This window comes from Homo sapiens, chromosome 8 (assembly GCF_000001405.40).
Source record: "Homo sapiens chromosome 8, GRCh38.p14 Primary Assembly".
NCBI classification, from domain to species: Eukaryota; Metazoa; Chordata; class Mammalia; order Primates; family Hominidae; genus Homo; species Homo sapiens.
Window position 1 is genome coordinate 28,756,969 of NC_000008.11, and position 23,367 is coordinate 28,780,335.

General features: G+C 45.4%; 1 protein-coding gene across 15 annotated transcripts in view, besides 1 other annotated feature; it reads right to left on the bottom strand.

Moving 5' to 3' along the window:
• The window catches only part of INTS9 (integrator complex subunit 9), a 122,309-nt gene continuing 109,634 nt past the window's right edge, over positions 10,693 to 23,367 (bottom strand). For 6 of the 15 annotated variants that reach the window (NR_026826.3, XM_047421958.1, NM_001145159.3 and 3 more), the window contains 5 exons: positions 20,861 to 20,985; positions 18,791 to 18,958; positions 14,014 to 14,112; positions 12,921 to 13,058; positions 10,693 to 11,354 (listed from right to left, as the gene is read on the bottom strand). Coding sequence is in view for 14 of the 15 variants with exons in the window: in XM_047421958.1 (XP_047277914.1) it covers positions 11,178 to 11,354; positions 12,921 to 13,058; positions 14,014 to 14,112; positions 18,791 to 18,958; positions 20,861 to 20,985 (707 nt within the window). In the remaining variant the exon portion in view is untranslated. Of the gene's footprint in view, positions 12,780 to 12,920; positions 13,059 to 14,013; positions 14,113 to 18,790; positions 18,959 to 20,860; positions 20,986 to 23,367 lie in introns of all 15 variants that reach the window. The other 9 variants (XM_047421956.1, XM_011544573.2, XM_011544576.3 and 6 more) reach the window with 2 other exon arrangements.
• Positions 20,451 to 20,520: a silencer, noted in NCBI's record as "silent region_19065". NCBI's record gives its function as "represses an Ori minimal core promoter by ATAC-STARR-seq in GM12878 lymphoblastoid cells {active_cell/tissue: GM12878}" and the evidence as "EXISTENCE:reporter gene assay evidence [ECO:0000049][PMID:35858748]".

Here is a 23,367-nt window from a genome sequence, read left to right on the forward strand (position 1 = left end):
TAATAGATTTCGGGGGGAGCAGTTTCAGATTTACAGCAAAACTGCATGAGAAGTACAAAGAGACTTCTTCTTCCACCTCACCCCTCACTTGTCCTTTATTAACATCTGCCATTAGTGTGATAGATTTGATACAATTGATGAGCCAGTGTTGACACATTATTCACTCAAGCCCATGGGTTTACATTAGGCTTCATTCATTGTGTTGTATGTTCTATGGGTTTTGACAAATATGTAATGATATATATTCACCATTACAGTCTCACACAGAACAGTCTCACTCCCCTAAAAACTTCCTGTGCTGCACCTATTGGTCCCTCCCTCCCTCTCTGAATCTCTGGCAACCACTGATCTTTTTACTGTTTTCACACTATGGCCTTTTCCAGAATGTCACATAAAATCATACAGCATGTAGCCTTTTCACATTGGCTGCTTTCATGTAATATAATATGCACTTAAGGTTCTTTTGTATCTTTTTCCCGGTTTGATAACCAGTTTCTTTTCTCAATGAATAGTATCGTATGGATGTATTTAGTCTTTTTTATTGCTGAGTTACAGGAATTTTTTGCGCTGGACACTAGTCCATTGTCAGATATGTTTTGTAAATTATTTTTTTAATTTGTGGCTTGCCTAATCATTTTCTGTATGGTGTCGTCTGATTAGCAGAAGTTTTCAATTTTGAGGAGATACAATTCTCTTGTTACTACTTTCTGTGACCCAAGAAACCTGTGCCTACCCAACATCATGAAGATATTTTCAGTGTTTTTCACCAAATGCTTTATGGTATTAGCTCTTATAATTAAAGATCCATCTCAGTGTTTATGGTGTGTGGCAGTGGTCAGGTTTCTGATACTTCTTCTATATGGGCATTGCAGCACCATTTGTTAAAAAGACTTTCCCTTCCCTTTGTTGAAAAGGTGGTCATTATAGAAGTGGGGCTCTGTTTCTGAGCCATCTTTGTTGTTATGCTGCTTTGTTCATCCTCGTGCCAGTTCCATACGGTCTTGATGAATGCAGCTTTCCAACTTTGTTCATCTCCAAGATTGCTTTCAATATTATAGTTACTTTGTATTTCTCTGTAAATTTTAGAATTAGTTCTATGGCATTAGCTCCTTTTCTTTTCAATTTTATAATTTCATAATATATTCCTTTTTTTTACTTTAAGTTTTAGGGTACATGTGCACAATGTGCAGGTTAGTTACATATGTATACATGTGCCATGCTGGTGTGCTGCACCCATTAACTCGTCATTTAGCATTAGGTATATCTCCTAATGATATCCCTCCCCCCTCCCCCAACCCCACAACAGTCCCAGAGTGTGATGTTCCCCTTCCTGTGTCCATATGTTCTCATTGTTCAATTCCCACCTATGAGTGAGAATATGCGGTGTTTGGTTTTTTGTTCTTGCGATAGTTTACTGAGAATGATGATTTCCAATCTCATCCATGTCCCTACAAAGGACATGAACTCATCATTTTTTATGGCTGCATAGTATTCCATGGTGTATATGTGCCACATTTTCTTAATCCAGTCTATCATTGTTGGACATTTGGGTTGGTTCCAAGTCTTTGCTATTGTGAATAGTGCCGGAATAAACATACGTGTGCGTGTGTCCTTATAGCAGCATGATTTATAGTCCTTTGGGTATATACCCAGTAATGGGATGGCTGGGTCAAATGGTATTTCTAGTTCTAGATCCCTGAGGAATCACCACACTGATTTCCACAATGGTTGAACTAGTTTACAGTCCCACCAACAGTGTAAAAAGTGTTCCTATTTCTGCACATCCTCTCCAGCACCTGTTGTTTCCTGACTTTTTAATGATTGCCATTCTAACTGGTGTGAGATGGTATCTCATTGTAGTTTTCATTTGCATTTCTCTGATGGCCAGTGATGGTGAGCATTTTTTCATGTGTTTTTTGGCTGCATAAATGTCTTCTTTTGAGAAGTGTCTGTTCACGTCCTTGGCCCACTTTTTGATGGGGTTGTTTTTTTCTTGTAAATTTGTTTGAGTTCATTGTAGATTCTGGATATTAGCCCTTTGTCAGATGAGTAGGTTGCGAAAATTTTCTCCCATTTTGTAGGTTGCCTGTTCACTCTGATGGTAGTTTCTTTTGCTGTGCAGAAGCTCTTTAGTTTAATTAGATCCCATTTGTCAATTTTGGCTTTTGTTGCCATTGCTTTTGGTGTTTTAGACATGAAGTCCTTGCCCATGCCTATGTCCTGAAGGGTAATGCCTAGGTTTTCTTCTAGGGTTTTTATGGTTTTAGGTCTAACGTTTAAGTCTTTAATCCATCTTGAATTAATTTTTGTATAAGGTGTAAGGAAGGGATCCAGTTTCAGCTTTCTACATGTGGCTAGCCAGTTTTCCCAGCACCATTTATTAAATAGGGAATCCTTTCCCCATTGCTTGTTTTTCTCAGGTTTGTCAAAGATCAGATAGTTGTAGATATGCGGTGTTATTTCTGAGGGCTCTGTTCTGTTCCATTGGTCTATATCTCTGTTTTGGTACCAGTACCATGCTGTTTTGGTTACTGTAGCCTTGTAGTATAGTTTGAAGTCAGGTAGCGTGATGCCTCCAGCTTTGTTCTTTTGGCTTAGGATTGACTTGGCAATGTGGGCTCTTTTTTGGTTCCATATGAACTTTAAAGTAGTTTTTTCCAATTCTGTGAAGAAAGTCATTGGTAGCTTGATGGGGATGGCATTGAATCTATAAATTACCTTGGGCAGTATGGCCATTTGCATGATATTGATTCTTCCTACCCATGAGCATGGAATGTTCTTCCATTTGTTTGTATCCTCTTTTATTTCATTGAGCAGTGGTTTGTAGTTCTCCTTGAAGAGGTCCTTCACGTCCCTTGTAAGTTGGATTCCTAGGTATTTTATTCTCTTTGAAGCAATTGTGAATGAGCATTCAACTCATCATTTGGCTCTCTGTTATTGGTGTATAAGAATGCTTGTGATTTTTGTACATTAGCTCTTATGCTTACATAAAATTCATCTCAATACTGCCCAGTCTCTTCTAAGAAACCTGGCATTATCAGATTAAAAAAATTTAAACATAAAATTTGCCATGTTAGCCATTTTGAAGTGTACAATTTAGTTCCATTAAGTATATTCACAATGTTGTGTAACCCTCACCACTAGCTAGTTACAAAACTGTTTCATTGCGAACAAATTCTGTACTCATTAAACAGTAACTTCCCATTCCCCCACTACTTCCAGCCTCTGATAACCTCTATTCTCTCTCTATGGATTCATCTATTCTGGATATTTGAATATAAATGAAATCATAAAATATGTGGTCTTTTGTGTCTGGCTTATTTCACTTAGCATGTTTTCAAGGTTCACCCGTTGCAGCATGTATCAGAATCTCATTCTTTTCTATGAGTGGATAATATTTCATTGTGTGTATGTTCCACATTTTGTTTTATCTGTTTATCTGTTGGTGGATACTTGGGTTGCATCCATCTTTTGGTTACTAAGGTGGTGAATAATATTGCTAAGAACATAGGTGGCCAAATATTTGAGTCCCTGCTCTCAATTCTTTTGGGTATCTATAGAGGAGTGGAGTTGCTGGACAATATGGTAATTCTGTATTTAACTTTTTGAGGAACTGCCAAACCGTCTTCCGTAGCGGCTGTGTCATTTTACATTCCACTAGCAGCGTATGAAGGTTCCAATTTCTCCACTTCTCCCAACACTTACTTTCTGATAAAAATTTAAAAAAATGGTACAGCCATCCTAGTAGGTGTGAAGTGGTACCTGGTCATGGGTTTGATTTTCATTTCCCTAATGACCAGTGTTGAATATCTCTTTATGTGCTATTGGCCATCTGTGTATCATCTTTGGAAAAATGTTTATTCAAGTCCTTTACCTACTTAAAACATTGGGTTAGGTTGTGGTGTGGCTGTCTGCTGGGATGGTATTGCATCAAATCCATAAATCAATAGGCAGAATTAAAATGTTAGTATTGAGTATTCTAATCCATCAATATGGCATATTTCTCCATTTATTCAAATCGTTAATTTTTATCAGCAAGGTTTTGAGACTTTTAGTGTAGAGATCTTACATATCTTTTCAAAAGTTATCTCACACTATTATGAATGAAGTTGCTGTTTTAAAAACATTTTATTTCTGGCCAGGTGTTGTGCCTCACACCTGTAATCCGAGCACTTTGGGAAGCCAAGGTGGGTCTCTATAAAAGTAAAAAGAAAAAAAAAATTAGCTGGATGCAGTGGCATGTGCCTGTGATCCCAGCTACTCAGGAAACTGAGGTGGGAGTATCACTTGACCCTGAGAGTTTAAGGCTGCAGTGAGCCATGACTGTGCCACTGCACTTCAGCCTGGGTGACAAAGTAAGACTCTCTCTCAAAAACTTGTTAATATATAAAATACAGTTGACTTTTGGATACTAACCTTGTATTTTGCAGTCTTGTGAGCTTATTCCAGTAGTTTTCTAGATTTCTTAGAACTTTCTATGTAAAAAGTCTCATCTGAAAACAGTTTTACTTCTTTCCTACCTTTATGCTTTATCTGTTTGTATGCCTGCCTGCCTTTTCCTCTTCAATTTTGCCTTATTGCAATGACTGGGACTCCGAGAACACTATAGAACAGTAGTATGGATCGGCACCTTGCTTTGCTCTCAATATTTGGGGAAAAGCTCTAGTATTTCACTGAGCTGTTAAGTTTTTCATACATAACCTTTATCAGGTTGAGTATGTTCCCTTTTATTCCTGTCTGCTGAGTGCTGTTAGAGAATTTCATCAAATGCTTTTTTCCTGTATCTATCGAAATGATCCTCTATTCTATTATAAATTAGATTGGCTTTCAAATATTTAATTATCCTTGCATTCCAGGGATAAACCCTACTTGGTCATGTCATATTATCCTATTTGTGTATTGCTGGATTCAGGTTGCTGGTAAGTTTTTTTTTTTTTTTTTTTTGCATTGATGTTCATGAGAGATATTTACCTCTCATTTTCTTTTTTGGTAATGACTTTATAAGGTTTTGGTATTAGAGTTATGCTGGCCCCTTAAAAGGGACTGGAATATTCCCCCTTCCTCTTTTTGATAGAGGTTATACAAGATTGGTGTTATTTCTTCCTTAAATGTTTGATAGTTTCCCAGGGAAACCATCTAGGCCTGGAGTTTTCCTTGTGAGAAGATAATAAATTTAATTTCTTAAGTGAATATCAAGTTCTTTTTCTTATTGAATGAGCTTTGTCTATTTGTGTCTTCAAAGGAAATTTTCCATTTTATCTGTGGTGGTAAATCTGTTGGCATAAGTTGGTGTTCTTTTTATCCCTTTAATATTTGTAGGCTCTTTAGTAATACCCCCCTTTCCTTTCTGATTGGCTGTCTTCTTCATATCCGTAGGATCTGTAGTGATAACCAAAGTTTTTTCACTGCCCATATGGGCAGTCGGTCCTGTCTTTCCTTGATCAGTCTAATGAGGTGTGTATCAGTTCTGCTGATGTTTTAAAAAATCAGCTTTTGGCTTTGTTAGTTTTCTCTGTTCTGTTTTGCTCATGTTTTGCTTATTTTTATGATTTCTTTCCTCTACTTTCTTTGGGTTTATTTGGCTCTTTTTATAGTCTTCTAAGGTAAAAATTTAGATCAAGTTTAGGTCTTTCATTTTTTCTGTAAGCATTTAAAGGTATAAGATGACTTTTAAGCACTACTTTAGCAGTATCCTGTACATGTTGAGCTTTAATTTTCTGTTCAAAATACTTTCCAATTCATTTTGGGATGTCTTCTTTGATCCATGAGCTATTTTAGAAGTGTTTAATTTCTAAATATTTGTGGTTTTCCAAAATACTTCGTTGAGTTTGAATTTAATTCCATTGTGGTGGGAGAAGGTTTTGTGTATGCGTTCGGTCCTTTCAGATGTAATGAGATTTATCACCTAGCATATGGTTTTCATAGTAAACATTCTGCTGCTGCAGAGCAAGTATTCTAAAAAGTATCAATTAAGTCAAAGTTTTTGACAGTTTTGTTCAGGTCATCTATGACTTTTTTTTTGTCTAGTTGTTTTAATAATTATTACAAGGGTGATAAAATCTCTAATGGAATTGTTTTTTTGTGGTAGGTTGTTCTATCTACCTACTTACGTAACTACATACGTCTGGAGTTTATAGTTTTACCTCTAGGAGGGTCAGGTCTGATGGGAGCTGTTACATTGCCATTCCATTATTTGACCTTTACTTGAATAAACTACAGAAATGTTCCCACACACAGCACTTGAGCAGGGATTGGCATACTTTTTCTGTAAAGGGTCAGCCAGTGTTTTAGGCTTTGTGGGCCACATGTGATTTCTGTTGCATCTTTTTTCTAACAACTCTGCTTGTGGGCCAGATTTGGCTTTTCGGCCACAGTTACCAACCTCTGATTCATCTCATCAGGAAGCTGCCCACTGAATCGAGTAGCTATTTTAAAGCATGGGCTAAATGATAGGGATTTTTACACTTATGTGCAGGTTCCCATGTTTAGAACATTGCAGTTAAAAAACTGACCCACCAGGAAATGTTGTTTTGGCCTGTAATTCCTAAATATTTCTGAAATTTTCTTTCCTTACCTTCTTCCACAAGCCTCATGCTGGGACAAGGTGGAAAAAACAGACCCTGCCCCCAGGGTGCTCATGGTCCTGGAAATGTGCTCCTCTCTAGCTGTAAGTCTGGGAGAAATGCTTATCTGTGACGGTGAGCTAAAGCCATGAGAGAGGGCACAACACACCGAATATGTGAGCAGCTGCCGACTAATGCCCACTGATGACTGGAAGGTGCTTACTGATGATTGGGAAAGGCTTTGTGAAATGAAAGTCCATTATTTCCAAAGTATGTGAAGCAAATGTAAATAGTTACTAGAGTAAAAACTTATATTGGATAATTTAAGGAAACGTTAGCAAACTTATTTTAATTGATAATGTGTTTGGTAACTCAGAATTTATTGTAGGAGAATTAAGTTACTTTTTACTGGTGATTGATTTGATAACTACATCAGGGAGGCTTACACATGGGTTAGGAATGTTTATTGTAGAAAAAGGTAAAGGGTAAATCCTTCTAACACAAACACCATTACACGGGGGCTTTGCACATTTTTTTCAATGGCCTGCAATGCCAACAGAAGAGAAGCAAGAAATATTCTACATGCCTGAGGAGATGGGCGTTTACACCCCTTTCAAAGATCTGTGGTCCTGTGTCTCAAAAGTTTACATTTAACGTGTGCATGTGTGTGTGTGTGTGCACATGTATATATATAGATAGATAGATAGATGGTTTTTTTTTTTGTTTTTTTTTTTGAGACAGAGTCTGGCTCTGTCTCCCAGGCTGGAGTGCAGTGGTGCGATCTTGGCTCACTGCAACCTCCATCCCCCCGCCCCCTCCCCGGGTTTAAGCATTTCTCTGCCTCAGCCTCCTGAGTAGCTGGGATTACAGGCATCTGCCACCACGCCTGGCTAATTTTTGTATTTTTAATAGAGATGGGGTTTCACCATCTTGGCCAGGCTGGTCTTGAACTTCTGACCTTGTGATTCACCCACCTTGGCCTCCCAAAGTGCTGGGATTAGAGGTGTGAGCCACTGTACCTGGCCATAATGTATATAATGCTTTATGATGTGATTAAAACCCATAATGGGCTGCCAAGGAGCAGTGGAGACTCTGGTATTTGATCTTTAGAAGATCAGTTCCTGATGGAGGCTGGCTCAAGTCTACAGTGAGAATGGCCCTGTGGCTCAGCTTGGCACTGCTGGTCTCCAGGATTTACCTGTGACTTCCTCCATAATTGTCATTGGTTATTTCCACTCTATTTTAGGTTCAAAGAAGACTACTGTTATTTATGTGTAGTCCCACTGCAGTGCATTTGAAAGATAAGTGTTGTCTACCTTCTTATAGATGGCATAAAGCAGTGAGACAGCATTAACTACTCCTCTTGGCTGCAGGAAAAAAACTGGACTCAGGGCCAGAGGAAAAGTGTCCTCCTTCCCTTCCCACTCGTTGCTTGACTCTTGTTAATATGTCATTATGCAGGTTTAAAGGTTTCTTCACTCTTGTTTCTGTTGATACTTCATTACAGTTTGGAAATGCCTTTATAGGACAACTGTGAGGGCCAAAAGCTTCAAGCTCTTCAGGGATCAGGAGAGATGGAGTAGATGTGACTTGGAAAGCAATGGCCTAAAAGACAGATTGCCATTTCCTGGCTGGCTGCTGACCTGATACTCACCCACGGTGTTGCGGTAAGGCAGAGGCCACTCACTGGCGGTTCTGCGGAAAGTTACTTAAGCTCTGTTCCCTCACCCAACAGCTGACTGCAGCCGTGTGGAGAGGAGACCCTGAGCCAGGGTCGACCAGCTAAGCCACACTACACCAGATTCCCGACCACAGAAACAGTGAGATGAGAAAAGTCAGGTTTTCTTTTTTTTTTTTTTTTTCTTTTTGAGACGGAGTCTCGCTCTGTCGCCCAGGCTGGAGTGCAGTGGCACGATCTTGGCTCACTGCAAGCTCCGCCTCCTGGGTTCACGCCATTCTCCTGCCTCAGCTTCCGGAGTAGCTGGGACTACAGGCGCCCACCACACCTGGCTAATTTTTTGTATTTTTAGTAGAGATGGGGTTTCACCGTGTTAGCCAGGATGGTCTCGATCTCCTGACTTCGTGATCTGCCCGCCTCGGCCTCCCAAAGTGCTGGGATTACAGGCGTGAGCCACCGTGTTTTGGGGTAATTTGTTGTGCAATAGATACCTAATATATCACTTTGTACTAAGACTTAAATAATATGAGGTCTCTGCACTATTAAGTTTTTTTCAATTAATCATTAGGATTCCACTGGGTTTGAGTACAAACTTTTCTGGATGTCAGAGTCTTCGCCAGGTTGATGTCAGTGTCAGTCAATGTCAGTTAATGTCGGTGGGCCGCATTTCTGATAGAGCCAGGCCACGTCTGCCACTTATGCCACTTCTTTGGAGTCTTCTAACCAACCTGGCATGGTATCCAAATACCTGAACTTTAGGCAGTTACTCATAACTGCTCTTCTCATACCTGGAAAGGCCGGCTCTGGATTTTCTCTCTGCTTTTTATAAAGCATGAGTCTTTGCTGCTTCCTGCCTCTGACTTCTGCCACTAAGTGGGTGGTGATGACTTGATTAAAACCTACTAAGTTGCACCCTGTTCATCGGGCACCCACTGACTCGCTTGTTCTTACTGCTCACTTCTTTTGCAAACCCCCTCAAGGGACCAGCACTGGGCTCTCTGATCAAGCCCTTTCACGGCAGACAGGCTTGACAGATCCCATCATTCCTAGATAGCATTGCTAGGACATTTAAATAAAATAACCATTTTTGGTTTCTCCTGAGCTCTAGCTTACACTGTTTTTGCATTTCAGATTTTTTTTTTTTTTTTTTGATATGGAGTCTTGCTCTGTTGCCCAGGCTGGAGTGCAATGGCATGATCTCGGCTCACTGCAACCTCCACCTGCCGGGTTCAAGTGATTCTCCTGCCTCAGCCTCACCAGTAGCTGGGATTACAAGTGTGTGCCATCATGCCCGGCTAATTTTTTTTGTATCTTTAGTAGAGACGGGGTTTCACCATGTTGGCCAGGCTGGTCTCGAACTCCTGACCTTGTGATCCGCCTGCCTTGACCTCCCAAAGTGTTGGGATTACAGGTGTGAGCCACCATGCCTGGCCCTCAGATGTTTTTAAAATTTAATTTCACTTGATTCTTTCAAAGGTTCTATTGGAAGTATGCCTGCTTGGGATGTCTATTTGCAATTCTAAAAAGAAAACTAAATGTTCATAGCCATGGCACATTCATCTCTTGTAATGTCAGTCCTGCCCCATGGTTGGAAGCCTCTCGTTTATTCTGTAGCCTATCCCTTGACTGGAGTGGACCCAAACCTTGGAAAATTAGAAACCTACTTAAGCATTCCCATGCCCAGGTTTGGCAAGGTTGGAGATGGCAAACATGAAGTAGTCTTTTCCCTGCTTTAGCGAAGCACTCATTCCCACCAATACGATTGTTCCAAGAGGAGTGATAATGCGCCATAAAGCCAGAGCAGTCAGTTCTGCAGCTGTTCATGTTATGTATTTATTGGGTCACTAAATCCCTGTGTGCTGTTTAGTTGTCAGCCGAGTTGGAGGACTGACTTCTGAGTGAATTTCAATCAATCAATCACTCCAACAAGATGGTTAAGAATAGCCTGCGCTGGGCATACTATCTAGCATCGCCTGCCAGGGCTAAGACTTGTTCTTAATACTCGCAAAGTTGGCCTGGGTGTCACAGCTCGTGCTATTTCACCTGGTAACTGTTGGTTTTATACATTTCAAAAGCAGTCATCTTTTGTGAGGTTACTTTTGTCTGAAAGCTTCCTACGACCAGTGGCTCTGAGGGTATCTGTGAGTAACGCCCGGTTTAATGCAGAGACTGAGGATCTGTGGGAGAGGCGGTGCAGGTGGAGCCTGAGGCTGGTGTACCGACCTGCATCACTCTCCGTGCAGCCACAGCTTAAAGGTGAGCACCTTCTTATGCAATGTAAGGAGAAACAGATCTGTGTTTTTATAAACAGTGCAAATTATATGATTTAACATACACATCAAAATTCAATTTCCTGTGGTGTTTTCTAAGTTCATGCTGTTCTGTATATTTTCATATTTTTTCAGCTACTAAATCAATATATAGATGGTAGGTTCAACAGAGGACAGCTAATTATATAAAAATAAGTGTTTATTAACAAATGGGCTCAGAGTAGAAAATGCAGACAGATGGGTTCACTTTACCATATTTTGGGATCATCATCTTATTGCGTACAGCACTGTAGGCAAGTAAACGAAACCAAAGGCTGGCTCCCCTGGCCGAGGCCTGGGACTGATGCAAGACAGCCAGCCAGTCACCTCCGCCTCCCATGAACCTCTTGGAAAACTTCTCCTGTCCCACTTCTGCCACCCTCCAGCTCCTTGAGAGAGCCAGAGTTGAGAAGAAAATGAGCCTGAAGTTGAAAGGGAAAGTTCTTGCCTGAAACAGTGCTGGGAATAAGTCCAGACCATTTCCCTCAAGAGCCACCTCTTCACTCCTTAAGCCAGAGGACACCACAAAGACACAGTTAATGGCCTCTCATGCCACTCCTCAGGTGGCTTGTGAGGGCAGCCAGTGAGGGACTGCAGGATTTCAGGGAAGTAGCTCAGATGGCCCACTCAGAACTTCTGTAAGAATTTGAGGACAAGGTCCCGCAGTCGCACTCTGAGCATCTCGTCATTGTCGCAGATGATATGGGTCGAGTCTTCTTCAATCTGGATGAGCGTCTCAGCCTCCTGGAGCAGGACGATATGGCCCTTGGCTGTGTCCTCCACCTTAATATCACTGAAGCCATGCTGCTCCAGAAGAAAAGAAAGAGGTGGGCTGGGCAGACTGCACATCTGTGAGATCTGTAAATGACACTTCACAGACTCGACTGAACTTTCTAGAAACTGACACGTCTCAACACAATTCTTCAGACTAGTCATAGGCCTATGATAGTGATAGTTTCTTATACTTGAAAAGAGACCCTAAACATGCAAAAGCTCATGCAAAACAACAGAATTTCCACAACCTGGCTAAGCTTTTGTGAGTTCTTTGAGGGCACGTCCAAGCACTGTGTTCAGGAGTCTGGGACGCTCAGCTGCTTGCACCATGCCGTTCCCTGGTGACAGCTCCCTCCTAAGTTTCAGCTGTCTGAGCTCCCAGGAAAATGCCAGGTGACACCAAGATACCCCTGTGGGACTTGGCAGAGCCCTCTCAAGAGTGAAGGAGAGAAGGCAGCAGTGCAAACTTCTCAGCTATTGCTAATGCTAAGGACAGAAATTCCTTACAAATCAGACGTGACATGGAAAGGAGGCATGTGCCTGAAACAGACACACAGCAGGTGAAGGGCCTCGGTGTGGGGAGGCCACCTGTACTTCATGGCTGCAGGCTCCCCTAGGGACTTGGACAGGTGCTTGCTCCTTCTGCAGAGAGGAGCCGGGGTGGAACACTGGGTCAGGACATAGGCTGGGCCAGGCAGAAGGTCCTCATCTTAAGTTTTTAAAAGTCCAGCTTGAGGCCCATTAACAGGGCCCAGGAGCCCTGCAAGGTCTTCAGGGAGGGTGGAAGAGAGCCGCAACCACCCAGCCAGAGCCTTTTTCCCTACGGGAAAATCAAAGACAGGTGGAGAAAACCAATCCTAGGAAAGGGAAAGCCTTTAAGATTTGAAAGTCGGCAACTGTGATATTTACATTGGATAGAAAGTTCATAGAAATCTCCTTCCTTGTAATGATTGTAATTTGTTGCAGTTCTTGCAAGCAGCAGCATGAACAGTATTACCTTTAGCCAATTCCTTCTTCCTATCAAAGATTCTATAATCCTAATAAAGTCATCTCTGAAGTCCTGTGACTGAAGCCAAAATTACAACCTTTAAGGTTAGATTTTTTTCTTTTAATCATAGTCAAGAAATCTCATCTCTGGGAGAAGCAGCCATCAGGGCTGCTGAGACAGAGGGGAAGGGCCAGTGTCCCCTCCCCCGACTGCCTCCTGCAAATCCTGACAGTCGACTGGAGACTTGGCTCCCCTCTGACAGCAAGGAGTCATCTGTGGAAGTGCAAGACTCTGGCAGGGCCGGGTCCCTCTTTGTCCTGGCCTCACTACCCTGCCCCACTCGTCACATGTGTGTGTGGAAGCAGCTTTTTCTTCAGTCTGGAGAGGCCTTCTGGTGACCTCGTGCTGGGAGGAAGGATGGGGCACTCCTCACTCTGCTTTCTTTCTCCTGGGTCTCCCAGCAGGACCTTAGACCAAACAGATGCCACAGGACAGTGGGGACTAAGTGACAAGCAGCAACATCCACTCCCTGCAGCCAGGGGGCCATAGTGAGCCAGGGAAAGGCTGCCACGTGTGGAGTTTTCACGGCACCAGCGAAACCAGCTCACCTTCTCCAGGGTCTGCACGAACTGCTCCACAGGGATGGAACCGCTCAACAAAGGCTTCAGGACTTTGCAGTCTGGTACGTCATCGCTCACCCGCTTTCTCTTCTTCCCGCTCGTGGGCTGGGCGGGCCGAGGAGGGGGCTAGAGCAGAAGGAAAGAGTGGCTTTCATGAGCTTCCTCTGAGCAGCAGGGGCCACCGCAGGCCACACTGAGAGCCTGAGACTATCCTGTCCTCACAGGCCACAGAGCCCCGGCCCGGTTTCCTCAGCCGGCACTCGGTTCAGGTTCCCTGGCTGCCGGGAGCCCCAGATCCACGCGCTCTAATGCTCAACTGTCCAGCCTACCAACACCTTATTCGCTAAGATCTCTGCCTTCTATCAAGATCCATTTTTAAATTTTCAGGTGGTTCACTTCAGTATCTGCTGAGTAAATTCTCCAGAATACACTGTGTCGTGCTGCAGGTACATCATGACCCCGTGGCTGGGCACACTGGCTGTGGGGTCAGACCAAAGGGGGAAACCCCACCTTTGCCACCATCTGGCCAAGGTTAGAGAAGCTGCCTACGAAATGATGACAGCAGTGAATTCTGACGGCTCAGTAAGACAAGGCGGGTCAAGGACCCAGCACAGGGTCTAATAGACTTTAAGTGGTAGCTAGGAGCAACTCTACATGTGGCATAAAGGTGACACAGTCCAGATCTGAAAGGAATTCTTAAGACACAGTGCCTGCCCTGGAGCTGAAGTGCCACCCACCTGTGTGTGGGTCATTGGTAGGACCAGGCTCTCAGGTAGCCACAGCCTCACGCAGGTGCCCTCCGGTTCCAGCCCCCAAGGGCAGGGCTGCACCTGCCACCCTGCACGTCTCCCCACAGCCCTGCCTCGCGTGGCAGCGCTCCCCAACAGAATGTGCCTGTGGCAGCCCTTGGGATGACGTGCGGCCTCATCTCTGGGCACAGCAGCCTCTCTGAGGCACATGGCCAGGGAAATAATTCTTCAACAAGAATTCACATGAAGCGCTATTTCAAATATAATCTGTTAGGTGGTCTGGTTTCTTGCTGGGGAGAGGGTCCCCTGCACTCCCACCCAGCACCCCCTACCTGAAGCAAGTGCTTGTTATCTTTGGTGTGCAGCACGGCCGAGACAGTTGCCAAGGAGATGCCAGGCTTGATCTCCATGGGCACCAGTGAATCTGCGAGCTGAAAGCAAAGGGCGCAGTTCAGGCTGGGGGCCTTTAATGATGACCATTACTCTTCCTTTAATCTGTATTTACATCACTGCAGTCTAAAAAGATGAAATAACTTTAAAGGTAAACAATTTTTTTTTTTTTGAGATGGAGTCTTGCTCTGTCGCCCAGGTGACACACCAAGTGCAGCCTTTCATTCATTCTGGCCTTTACTTCACCCTCATCCCCTCTCCAGGTGACCAGTGGCAGGAAGGACGGGGACAGCAGCATGGCGGTTGAGGGAGCTCTCTCTTCCTGAAAGTCTGACTTCTCCTGATGGTGGGAGCCACGGCTTTACCTGGGGGGTGGTATCTTTCCGACCACCTGCACCTGATGGGTGCCCTGCCGTGCAGCCTGACCTTATTAGGTGCTCTGTTGCTGGGTTTAGCTGCATGGTTTTTAAGACATGTAGACCCCTACCTAGCCAAGCCACCTTTATTTAAAAACAAAAACATGCAAGAGGCCATTATGTAAACATGAAGATCAATACCAAACGGGCAGAGGAAGCAGCTTAGGATACTTAAGCAGATTGGCAAGTGGTACGTGAGGCCTGTTTCATGAAATAAGAAAACGGCCTATGGCGAGCGTGAAGCGGCCCTTGCCGAGGAGCAGGGTGTGCGCCAGATCCCGTTCTTCACCTGAGGCCTCCTCCACACAGGCCCCTCCTCCCTGCACAAGGCTGGGGTGGGAGCTTTGGGGATGGCGTTCTGCGCTCTCCCTGGGCAGCCATGCACTATTTCCAAGACGACTCTGAAGGAGTCTTTTTTTTTTTGAGATGGGGCCTCACTCTGCTGCCCAGGCTGGAGTGTGGTGGTGTGATCATAGCTCATTGCAACCTCAACCTCCTGGGCTCAAGTGATGTTCCCTCCTCAGCCTCCCCAGTAGCTGGGACTACAGGCATGAACCACCACGCCTGGCTAATTTATTATTTTTTTGTAGATACGGGGGTCTTGCTGTGTTGCCCAGGCTGGTCTTGAACTCCTGGCATCAAGTGATCCTCCTGCCTTGGCCTCCCAAGGGCTGGGATTACAGGCCTGAGCCAATGTGCCTGGCCATAATGTCCATTTTAAAGGCAATTACTGTAGCAAGTTGGATTGAGACAGTTACCTCCATTAATGATCAAAGACGTACAGTTTGGCTGGGTGCGGTGGCTCACGCCTGTAATTCCAGCACTTTGGGAGGCCACGGTGGGCAGACTGGAGTTTGAGACCAGCCTGGCCAATATGGTGAAACCCCATCTCTACCAAAAATACAAAAATTAGCTAGGATTGGTGGCATGTGCCTATAATCCCAGCTACTCGAGAGCCTAGGGAGGAGAACTGCATGCACCCGGGAGGCAGAGGTTGCAGTGAGCCAAGACTGTGCCACTACACTCCAGCCTGGGCAACACGGCAAGACTCCGTCTCAAAAAAAGACATAGGGCCGGGCACGGTGGTTCACGCCTGTAATCCCAGGACTTGGGAGGCCGAGGTGGGTAGATCACAAGGTCAGGAGATCAAGACCATCCTGGCTAACACAGTGAAACCCTGTCTCTACTAAAAATACAATAAATTATCCAGGTGTGGTGGCAGGTGCCTGTAGTCCCAGATACTCGGGAGGCTGAGGCAGGAGAATGGCGTGAACTCAGGAGGTGGAGCTTGCAGTGAGCAGAGATCTCACCACTGCACTTCAGCCTGGGCAACACAGCGAGACTCCGTCTCAAAAAAAGAAAAAAAAAGACATACAATTTAAAATTAGATAACAGTGTATACTTATATAACTGGAAAAGACTTGAATAAAATTGGAAAATAACTAAAAAAGGACAACATTCAATATTAGCAAGGAGGCAGAAGTAAGAGCTGTCTCCAGCTCTGCTGTGGGAGTATAAACTGTCACACTCATTCTAGAGGACAAGCTGGCAATATATAGCCTCGAGCCAGAAAGGGATGTTCATAATCTTTGACCCAGAAATTCTAACTTCAGAAAATTTTCTTATGGAAATAAACATATATGGACAAAGATTTATGTAAAAGGATGCTCCTAAAAGTGTTATTTATAACACAGAAAAACCAGAAATGAAAATCTGTGAAAAAAGGGGCCAGGCGCAGTGGCTCACGCCTGTAATCCCAGCACTCTGGGAGGCCAAGGCGGGTGGATCACAAGGTCAGGAGATTGAGACCATCCTGGCTAACACGATGAAACCCCGTCTCTACTAAAAATACAAAAAAATTAGCTGGGCATGGTGGCGGGTGCCTGTGGTCCCAGCTACTAGGGAGGCTGAGGCAGGAGAATGGCATGAAGCTGGGAGGCGGAGCTTGCAGTGAGCCAAGATCGCGCCAATGCACTCCAGCTTGGGTGACAGAGCGAGACTCCGTCTCAAAAAAAAAAAAAAAAAATCTATGAAAAAAGGAACTGTTAAATTATGACAGACCATTATGCAACCATTAAAGCTGAAGCTTTTGAAATATCTTTTTTTTTTTTCTTGAGACGGAGTCTCGCTATGTTGCCCAAGCTGGAGTGCAGTGGCGCGATTTTGGCTCACTGCAACCTCAGCCTCCCGAGTAGCTGCGATTACAGGCGCCTGCCACCACGCCTGTGGCTAATTTTTGTTTTTTTATTAGAGACAAGGTTTCATCATGTTGGCCAGGCTGGTCTTGAACTCGTGACCTTAAGTGATTCACCCCCGCCTCAGCCTCCTGAAGTGCTGGGGTTTACAGGCATGAGCCACCATGCCCAGCTGAAATATATATTTTTTGAGACAGAGTCTCGCTCTGTCATCCACGTAGGAGTGCGGTGGCATGATCTTGGCTTACTGCAACCTCTGCCTCCCGGTTCAAGCAATTCTCTGCCACAGCCTCCAAGTAGCTGGGATTACAGGTGCGTGACACCACGCCCAGCTAATTTTTTTTAGTGGAGATGGGGTTTCACCACCTTGGCCAGGCTAGTCTTGAACTCCTGACCTCATTGTCCACCCGCCTCGGCCTCCCACAGTGCTAGGATTACAGGAGTGAGCTACCATGCCTGGCTGAAATATCTTAAATGATATAATGTACTTACTGATAGGTGAAAAAGACGACAGTGTATGAGGTGTGATTCCAGTAGGCACACACACAGTGAACAGACAAGGCAAATACATCAAAATCTTAACATTTATCCCTGGCACTGGGACTGATTTTTGCTTTTGTCTTTATCCCTTAGTTATGTTAACATATAATAGGTTTGTATTATTAAGTGAATATTTTTAAAATGTCTTAGTTTTAATTTCTCATATAGCAAACATCAATAGACATAACCCACATAAACAAAACCTCTTTGGAGTTCTATTTGTAAGGATGTCTGAGACCAAAAGGTTTAAGGAATGCTGGCTTAGAGAGTTGAAATCTAAACCAAGGCCGTCAATCCCAGCCCCTGTAAAATACCAGACAAAAACAATCCAGAGAAAGTGAAAAAATCATAACAAAATGATAAAAACATATTAAACATTAAACAACCATAAAGATGGCACCTGGTGGTCCCTAGCAGCCTCTCCAGGCTCATGGAAATGAGTCACATTCAGGAGCCAAGACCTCCAACCCAAGGTCTGGAGGCCATTTCTGAACCTCAGACTCCAAAAGAAGTTTGGGCACACTGGTTTTAACAATAAGTTTTTATATTTCTTTTTCCTGTCTGTTGAAAACACATTCAAGTTGCCTCAAGAGGTGAAAGGAAGCCAGAGGTAGCCTCCAACCATCCTCAACGCTGTCTTTCAGGAGAGGCCGCGTCCCTCTCTGTCTCCCTCTCAGAGGAGTGGCCCAAGCGCAGCATGCCACAGCTGTTCAACATGGACAGCATGCTTTGGCTCTTTCCCTGCTAAAACTGAAGCTAAGAGTTCACAGACCTATAAAATACTTAGACTTTGATAGACCAAAACCTGCAAGTATGCTCAAGAGGATATAAATAACCAAGTTTACAATCCTTATTTTTTGGTTCCTGTTATCTCCCCCATCTACCTCTGAATTCAGCAAACTCTTGACACTCACTCATAACTGAGGTCCAGGAAGGAAGAGAAAAGTCACCATCCTATGGTATTTAGGGACAGAGCGGGTGTCAGCATCTCCACTTCCCAGGGCTCTGACCCATGATGTGGCCCAGGGCTCACGCTGCTGAATGCTAGGTAAGGAGCAGTCCTGACTAACAGCTGTTATTTTATTAGTTGAAAAACAAGAAGGCCCTGAAAATCCCCCCTCTTCCCGGTTACTTGGTTAAGGGTCCATGTTCTTTGTTCATTCATACTTGGAGTCTCACTCTGTTGCCCAGGCTGGAGTGCAGTGGTGTGATCTCGGCTCACTGCAACCTCCACCTCCTGGTTCAAGCGATTCTCAGGCTTCAGCCTCACGAGTAGCTGGGATTACAGATGCGTGCCACCACACCTGGCTACTTTTTTTGTATTTTTAGTAGAGATGGGGTTTTGCCATATTGGCTGGGCTGGGTTGGCCAGGCTGGTCTCGAACTCCTGACCTCAAGTGATCCGCCCACCTTGGCCGCCCAAAGTGCTGGGATTATAGGCGTGAGCTACTGCGCGCAGCCTGGTTCATTTATACTTGACATAAATCCAAAAGAAGGCCACCCCTGCACGATCTCCAAGAGCCTCTGTGGAAAGCTCTAGTTTAACCCTAGGAAGGAGAACAGCTCACCTCTGGCATGATCTCGATCTTCTCGTACCGACGTTTGAAGGGCAGGGCGAGAACCTCAGCCCGCCGATAGGACATGGCGGGGGGCTGGCAGTCGATCATGAGGTCCATCCTGTGGGACTGGGCTGGGGGCGGCTGAGTGTACTGCTCAGGACACACCACGTGCAGGGGCTGAGGAACCAATGGGACAGTTGAGAAAGGTGGTGTGAAGTACAGTGGCCCCTGTGGAAGGCCCATTCCTGACCCCGATCCACTCCCCGCCATTACAGGCTCACCACTTCCAGGCCAAGGTGAACTTTCATCCTCTCAAGCCCAATGAACCGTAGACAGGAGAGGGAACGTGAAGGCACTGGGGCAGAAGAAACATCTCGGAAACCCCTAAACTGCCTCAGCTTAATTTATCTTTCTTACTCTTTACATAAGTTTCACGGTAACTTCCATGTGTCTGCTCCCAGCGGTCTCTGGGCTTCCTCGGGGCACGGTCTTTCTCTAACATTCCCACATGCCTGCTATTATAAGCTCTTGGCTGATTACCAAGAGCTGTGGCTTTTCGTGCCGGGCTGGCGCTGTGGGTTTGGAGTTTCCGCTGGATCTGCAGGTCAGCTGGTATTAGGCAGTGGGCACTCCTCAGCTCATGTGCTCACCATGTGCAACCAAGGAGCAGAGGCAGAGTTTTTTTTTTTTGTTTTTTTTTTTAAACAAAATGTCTCTTTTTGTTATCTTGAGAAAAAAAGATTAGTAAACCAATTTTTACTTTGCACAAATATCACCCAAATGAAAAGGAATGCTGGCAGCCCACAGGGGCACTGTGTTGTCCCTGCTTCTACTTAAGAGCTTGGACCAAGCCCTGAATTCCCTGCTGAAGACGGCTTTCCACCAGGCTGACCGGGCTGAGCTTCCAAAAGCACTTGTTCCTTAGGGCTAATACTTTTCTCCTCCAAACTGCCCTTTGCTCCTCCTCTTGACCTGTCTCAAAGCATCTCATGCCACAGGTGCAGTCTGATGGCTTCTCCCAGGTTTTCCTCACCTAAAGTGGAGACCAGGTGGCCTCCAGTTTCCAGGATTAGCACCTGACAGAGGGGCGTCAAGAGCTGGTTTAGGGACTGGGATTTGAAGTTAATAATGAAAAGCAACACGCCTTTCACTGCTGCTTCTAACGTGGATGAGCATACATTGGGGTAGCGAATCACTGTAGACAGGCCCCACGTTTGCTGTCTGCTCTCATCATACCTAGAGAGTGCCAGTATTCTTTCTTCATTGGGCAAGCACATTAATAATCACCAGAATCCGCTCTTGGGGCCCTCCTGGGGTTCTCCGGCTTTCTCTGTTTCCTGTTCCCCTGCCTTAGAGTTTTGTGAAAGGGCCTCTCTCATCCTGAGGTTGAAGGTGCTGTGCTGGGCCCCTCCACCCTCATCTCACTCCTGGGAACACCAGGGAGTGGAAAGGGAGAGCTCTTCCTCGCCGGTGTCAGCTGTCCTCCTTGCCAATTCCAGTTCCTCTCCCGACTCTCAAGAGCCAGAAACCCAGCGAGCAGTGGCTGAGCCAGCACAGTGGTTCCGTGGCCCTGCCTTCCTGCTACGCGCGCCTCCTGGTCTACACTGCACCCCAGCTACTTCTTCCCTTTCTCCAGGGCAGAAAATGTGAAGTGAAACAAATGACCAAAAACTGCCACAAAACCCAAACCCGACAGCACTGTTTGTGGTACCAGCCTACACGTGCGACACGGCCCCAGTAACGCGTTTCATTTAAACTGTCTCAGCTTAGTGAGTATGTTTCTAGAATGACTTTTTTTTTTTTTGGCAGGGGTGAGAGGGTTTGCTTTTAAGCGGACACAGATGGTTTTCTTTCCCTTCCACATCTGATTTCTTTAGAATGGAAACTGCGGTCAGGGTGTAAAGACCACTCCTTTTCAGTGTGGAGGGGGGCTGGCATGTGTCCCAGCATTCTGCAGATGCGTGAGAACTGAAGACAAGAATCAAACACAGCTAGATCTCTCTCCCCTCACCCCACACAAGCATGAGCCACACCAAGGTGACATGACTACGTGAAGGCACAAGCAGTGTCCTTCATTACCTGCACTTCTTTAAGCAGCTTTGACACCTGGATGAAGTTCAGCCGGGTGTCGATGGGGCAGTAGATGCATTTCATGGCCAGCGGCTGGTAAGGAGCCAGGGCTTCCAGGTAGGAGAAGTCTGGTTCTAGGGAAAGTACAAGAAAGAAATCTTACAATGCAGACTACACAGGAGCTGCCAAGCCAGACAGCAACTGGGGCGCTGAGGGCCCACAGACAGTCAGGGGGTCAGGAGGGAGCCAGGAAGCACACGTGGGGGACGGAGGTCAAAGGGGCCCCGTGGAAGGAGGGGCAGGCTGGGATGGACCCTGTGGGTGGGCTCCAAGCTTCAGCAGAGGCAGATGAGGTAAATGAGGGAGAAATACATATGTGGGGGAGAAAAGAAAGCTCTTTTTACAACGAAATGCCAAGAAACAAACGATGAAATAAAAACCAAAACCACCGTTTGGCAACCATTACAGTTCATCACTTATTCAGATGAAAATCATCAACAAATGCTAAAAATATCAGATACCATTTTGAGGGAGAACAGAATATGTATATAGTTTCAAAGAGTCCCCCACAAGGTACTGATTTAATACAATGGGAAAAACTGACTTCACAGTGGAGAGGCCTGGTACAGACCCGGGAACCTAGAATCAGCTCTGAGTTAACGCCCAGGTGTGAGATGCACCCGGAAGACAAGCGCACGGCCCCGCCTCCAGGCCCGTGAATGGTCTGTAGACTGAGACTGGGATGCTCCCCAGCAGCCCCAGCCCCTCAGACCGGGAAGAGTCCTCGCCCTCTGCTCAGCCTGTCTCCTGAGGGCTGCTGCAGCCTGCTTGGCAGGGAACATTCCCCCAACTCGAGGGAGCTGCCTGCCTTGAGCCAAAAGACCTCGCTCGGTCCTAACTGATGTGACACTTTGATTCCCAGCACAGTCTGTGCCCAGCGACGAGGGACCCTGGCTTAGGCACACCAGACACAGAGACGTCTCCACTGTTGTCAGGACAAACTGGCAGAGCTGCCAGGTACATAAATGCCCATTCCAGTGGATTGTGCTTCTCTGAGAATACTGACCCCCTTTTCATGTATCCAGGAGTCACAAAACAATAAAAAAAGATGGCCCCAACCTCTCCCAGACACAACTTCTGCCCTGGAAGCCCCATAAACCAGTTTAAATGCAAACCCATTACCCAGAGTTGTCACAGGAAATCACACAGTCCTGATTTCCTTTTAGCTGAAGAAACATTTGTACTAAAGGCCAGGTTATCTACTGTGCTGTGTAGATGCTGTCACCACTGTCATGTCAAATGTCGAGTCACCACTCAGCAGCAGGAGCAGGAGACACCAACCTCAGCCCCACTACATAGGACATTCTCTGGACAACCTCCTAATTAATGAAATCTTGGCAGCTATGAAGTTCTGGGTGTTGTCAATCAATATCTTGTGGCCCAACTTCCTCCACCTTTAGCCCAAAGCAGGCCTGAGAAGAGGAAAGCAGTCCTGGTGACCGGGGCCTCTCCTGGCACTTTCTGCCTGGCCTGGTATCAGCAAGAGCCGGCCTGGCACCCACAGCAAAGCCATGTGTCCTCCTGCTGTGTGAACGCAACTTCCTGGAACACCAACACCTTGTCTGACAATGATGGATCCGGCCAAAGACAAGACCCCTCTGTAATCATCCTGAACACGGAACACAGAACTTTCCTGACCACAGCATAAGCAAACTTCCCGCTATGCCGGCTCCATTCTTCCTGTGTTCTAGATAAGAATGAGTTAAGAAACCCATCGCAGAATGACCCTGCATCCTGACGCCACCCAATACAGGGTGACGCCTCACCTCCGCGAACACCTGCGCATCACCGAACACCAGCCGGAGTCCTGCAAGGTCTTTTTGCTTTTCTTTTACCCATGGTGTGTGTTCCCCTTGCTGAAATGAGGCAATAAACCCAACTTGGTTTGACCACAGGCGTGTTCCTGGTGGCCTCTAGGTCACAAATGAAAGCTGGGGGAAGGGCTGAAGCGTCACCCCAGTGCTTCTGGTGTAACTGGATTCCCAGCTCCTAAAGCTAGGAAGGGAGCTGGTGACAGTGCTTTCCCAACAGCCGCCATGTGCCGGGTTCTGTGCCTGGTGCCCAGAGTGACCCACAGAGGTAGCTACTGACAGTCCCATTTACTGTGGGGACAGTCATGCTTGCTGGTGAATTGGCTGAGGTTGCTGCAAGCTGGGCCAGATTTCAAATCAAGGTTTTTTTTTTTTTTTCTTTTTTCTTCATAGCCTGTAAGATTTCTAAAACCCAAGGCCGACTGAAGACCCTAACCCATGGGTGTCCAAGCTTTTGGCTTCTTTGGGCCACACTGGAAGAAGAACTATCTCGTGCCCCACATAAAATACACTAACACTAATGATGACTGATGAGCTAAAAAAAAAAAAAAAAAAAAAAAAAAAAAAAAAAAAAAAGGTCTGTGCATAATTTCCAAGATATCCCCTATCACAGATAAGCAAAAAAGACCTAGCATTCAAAGGGCT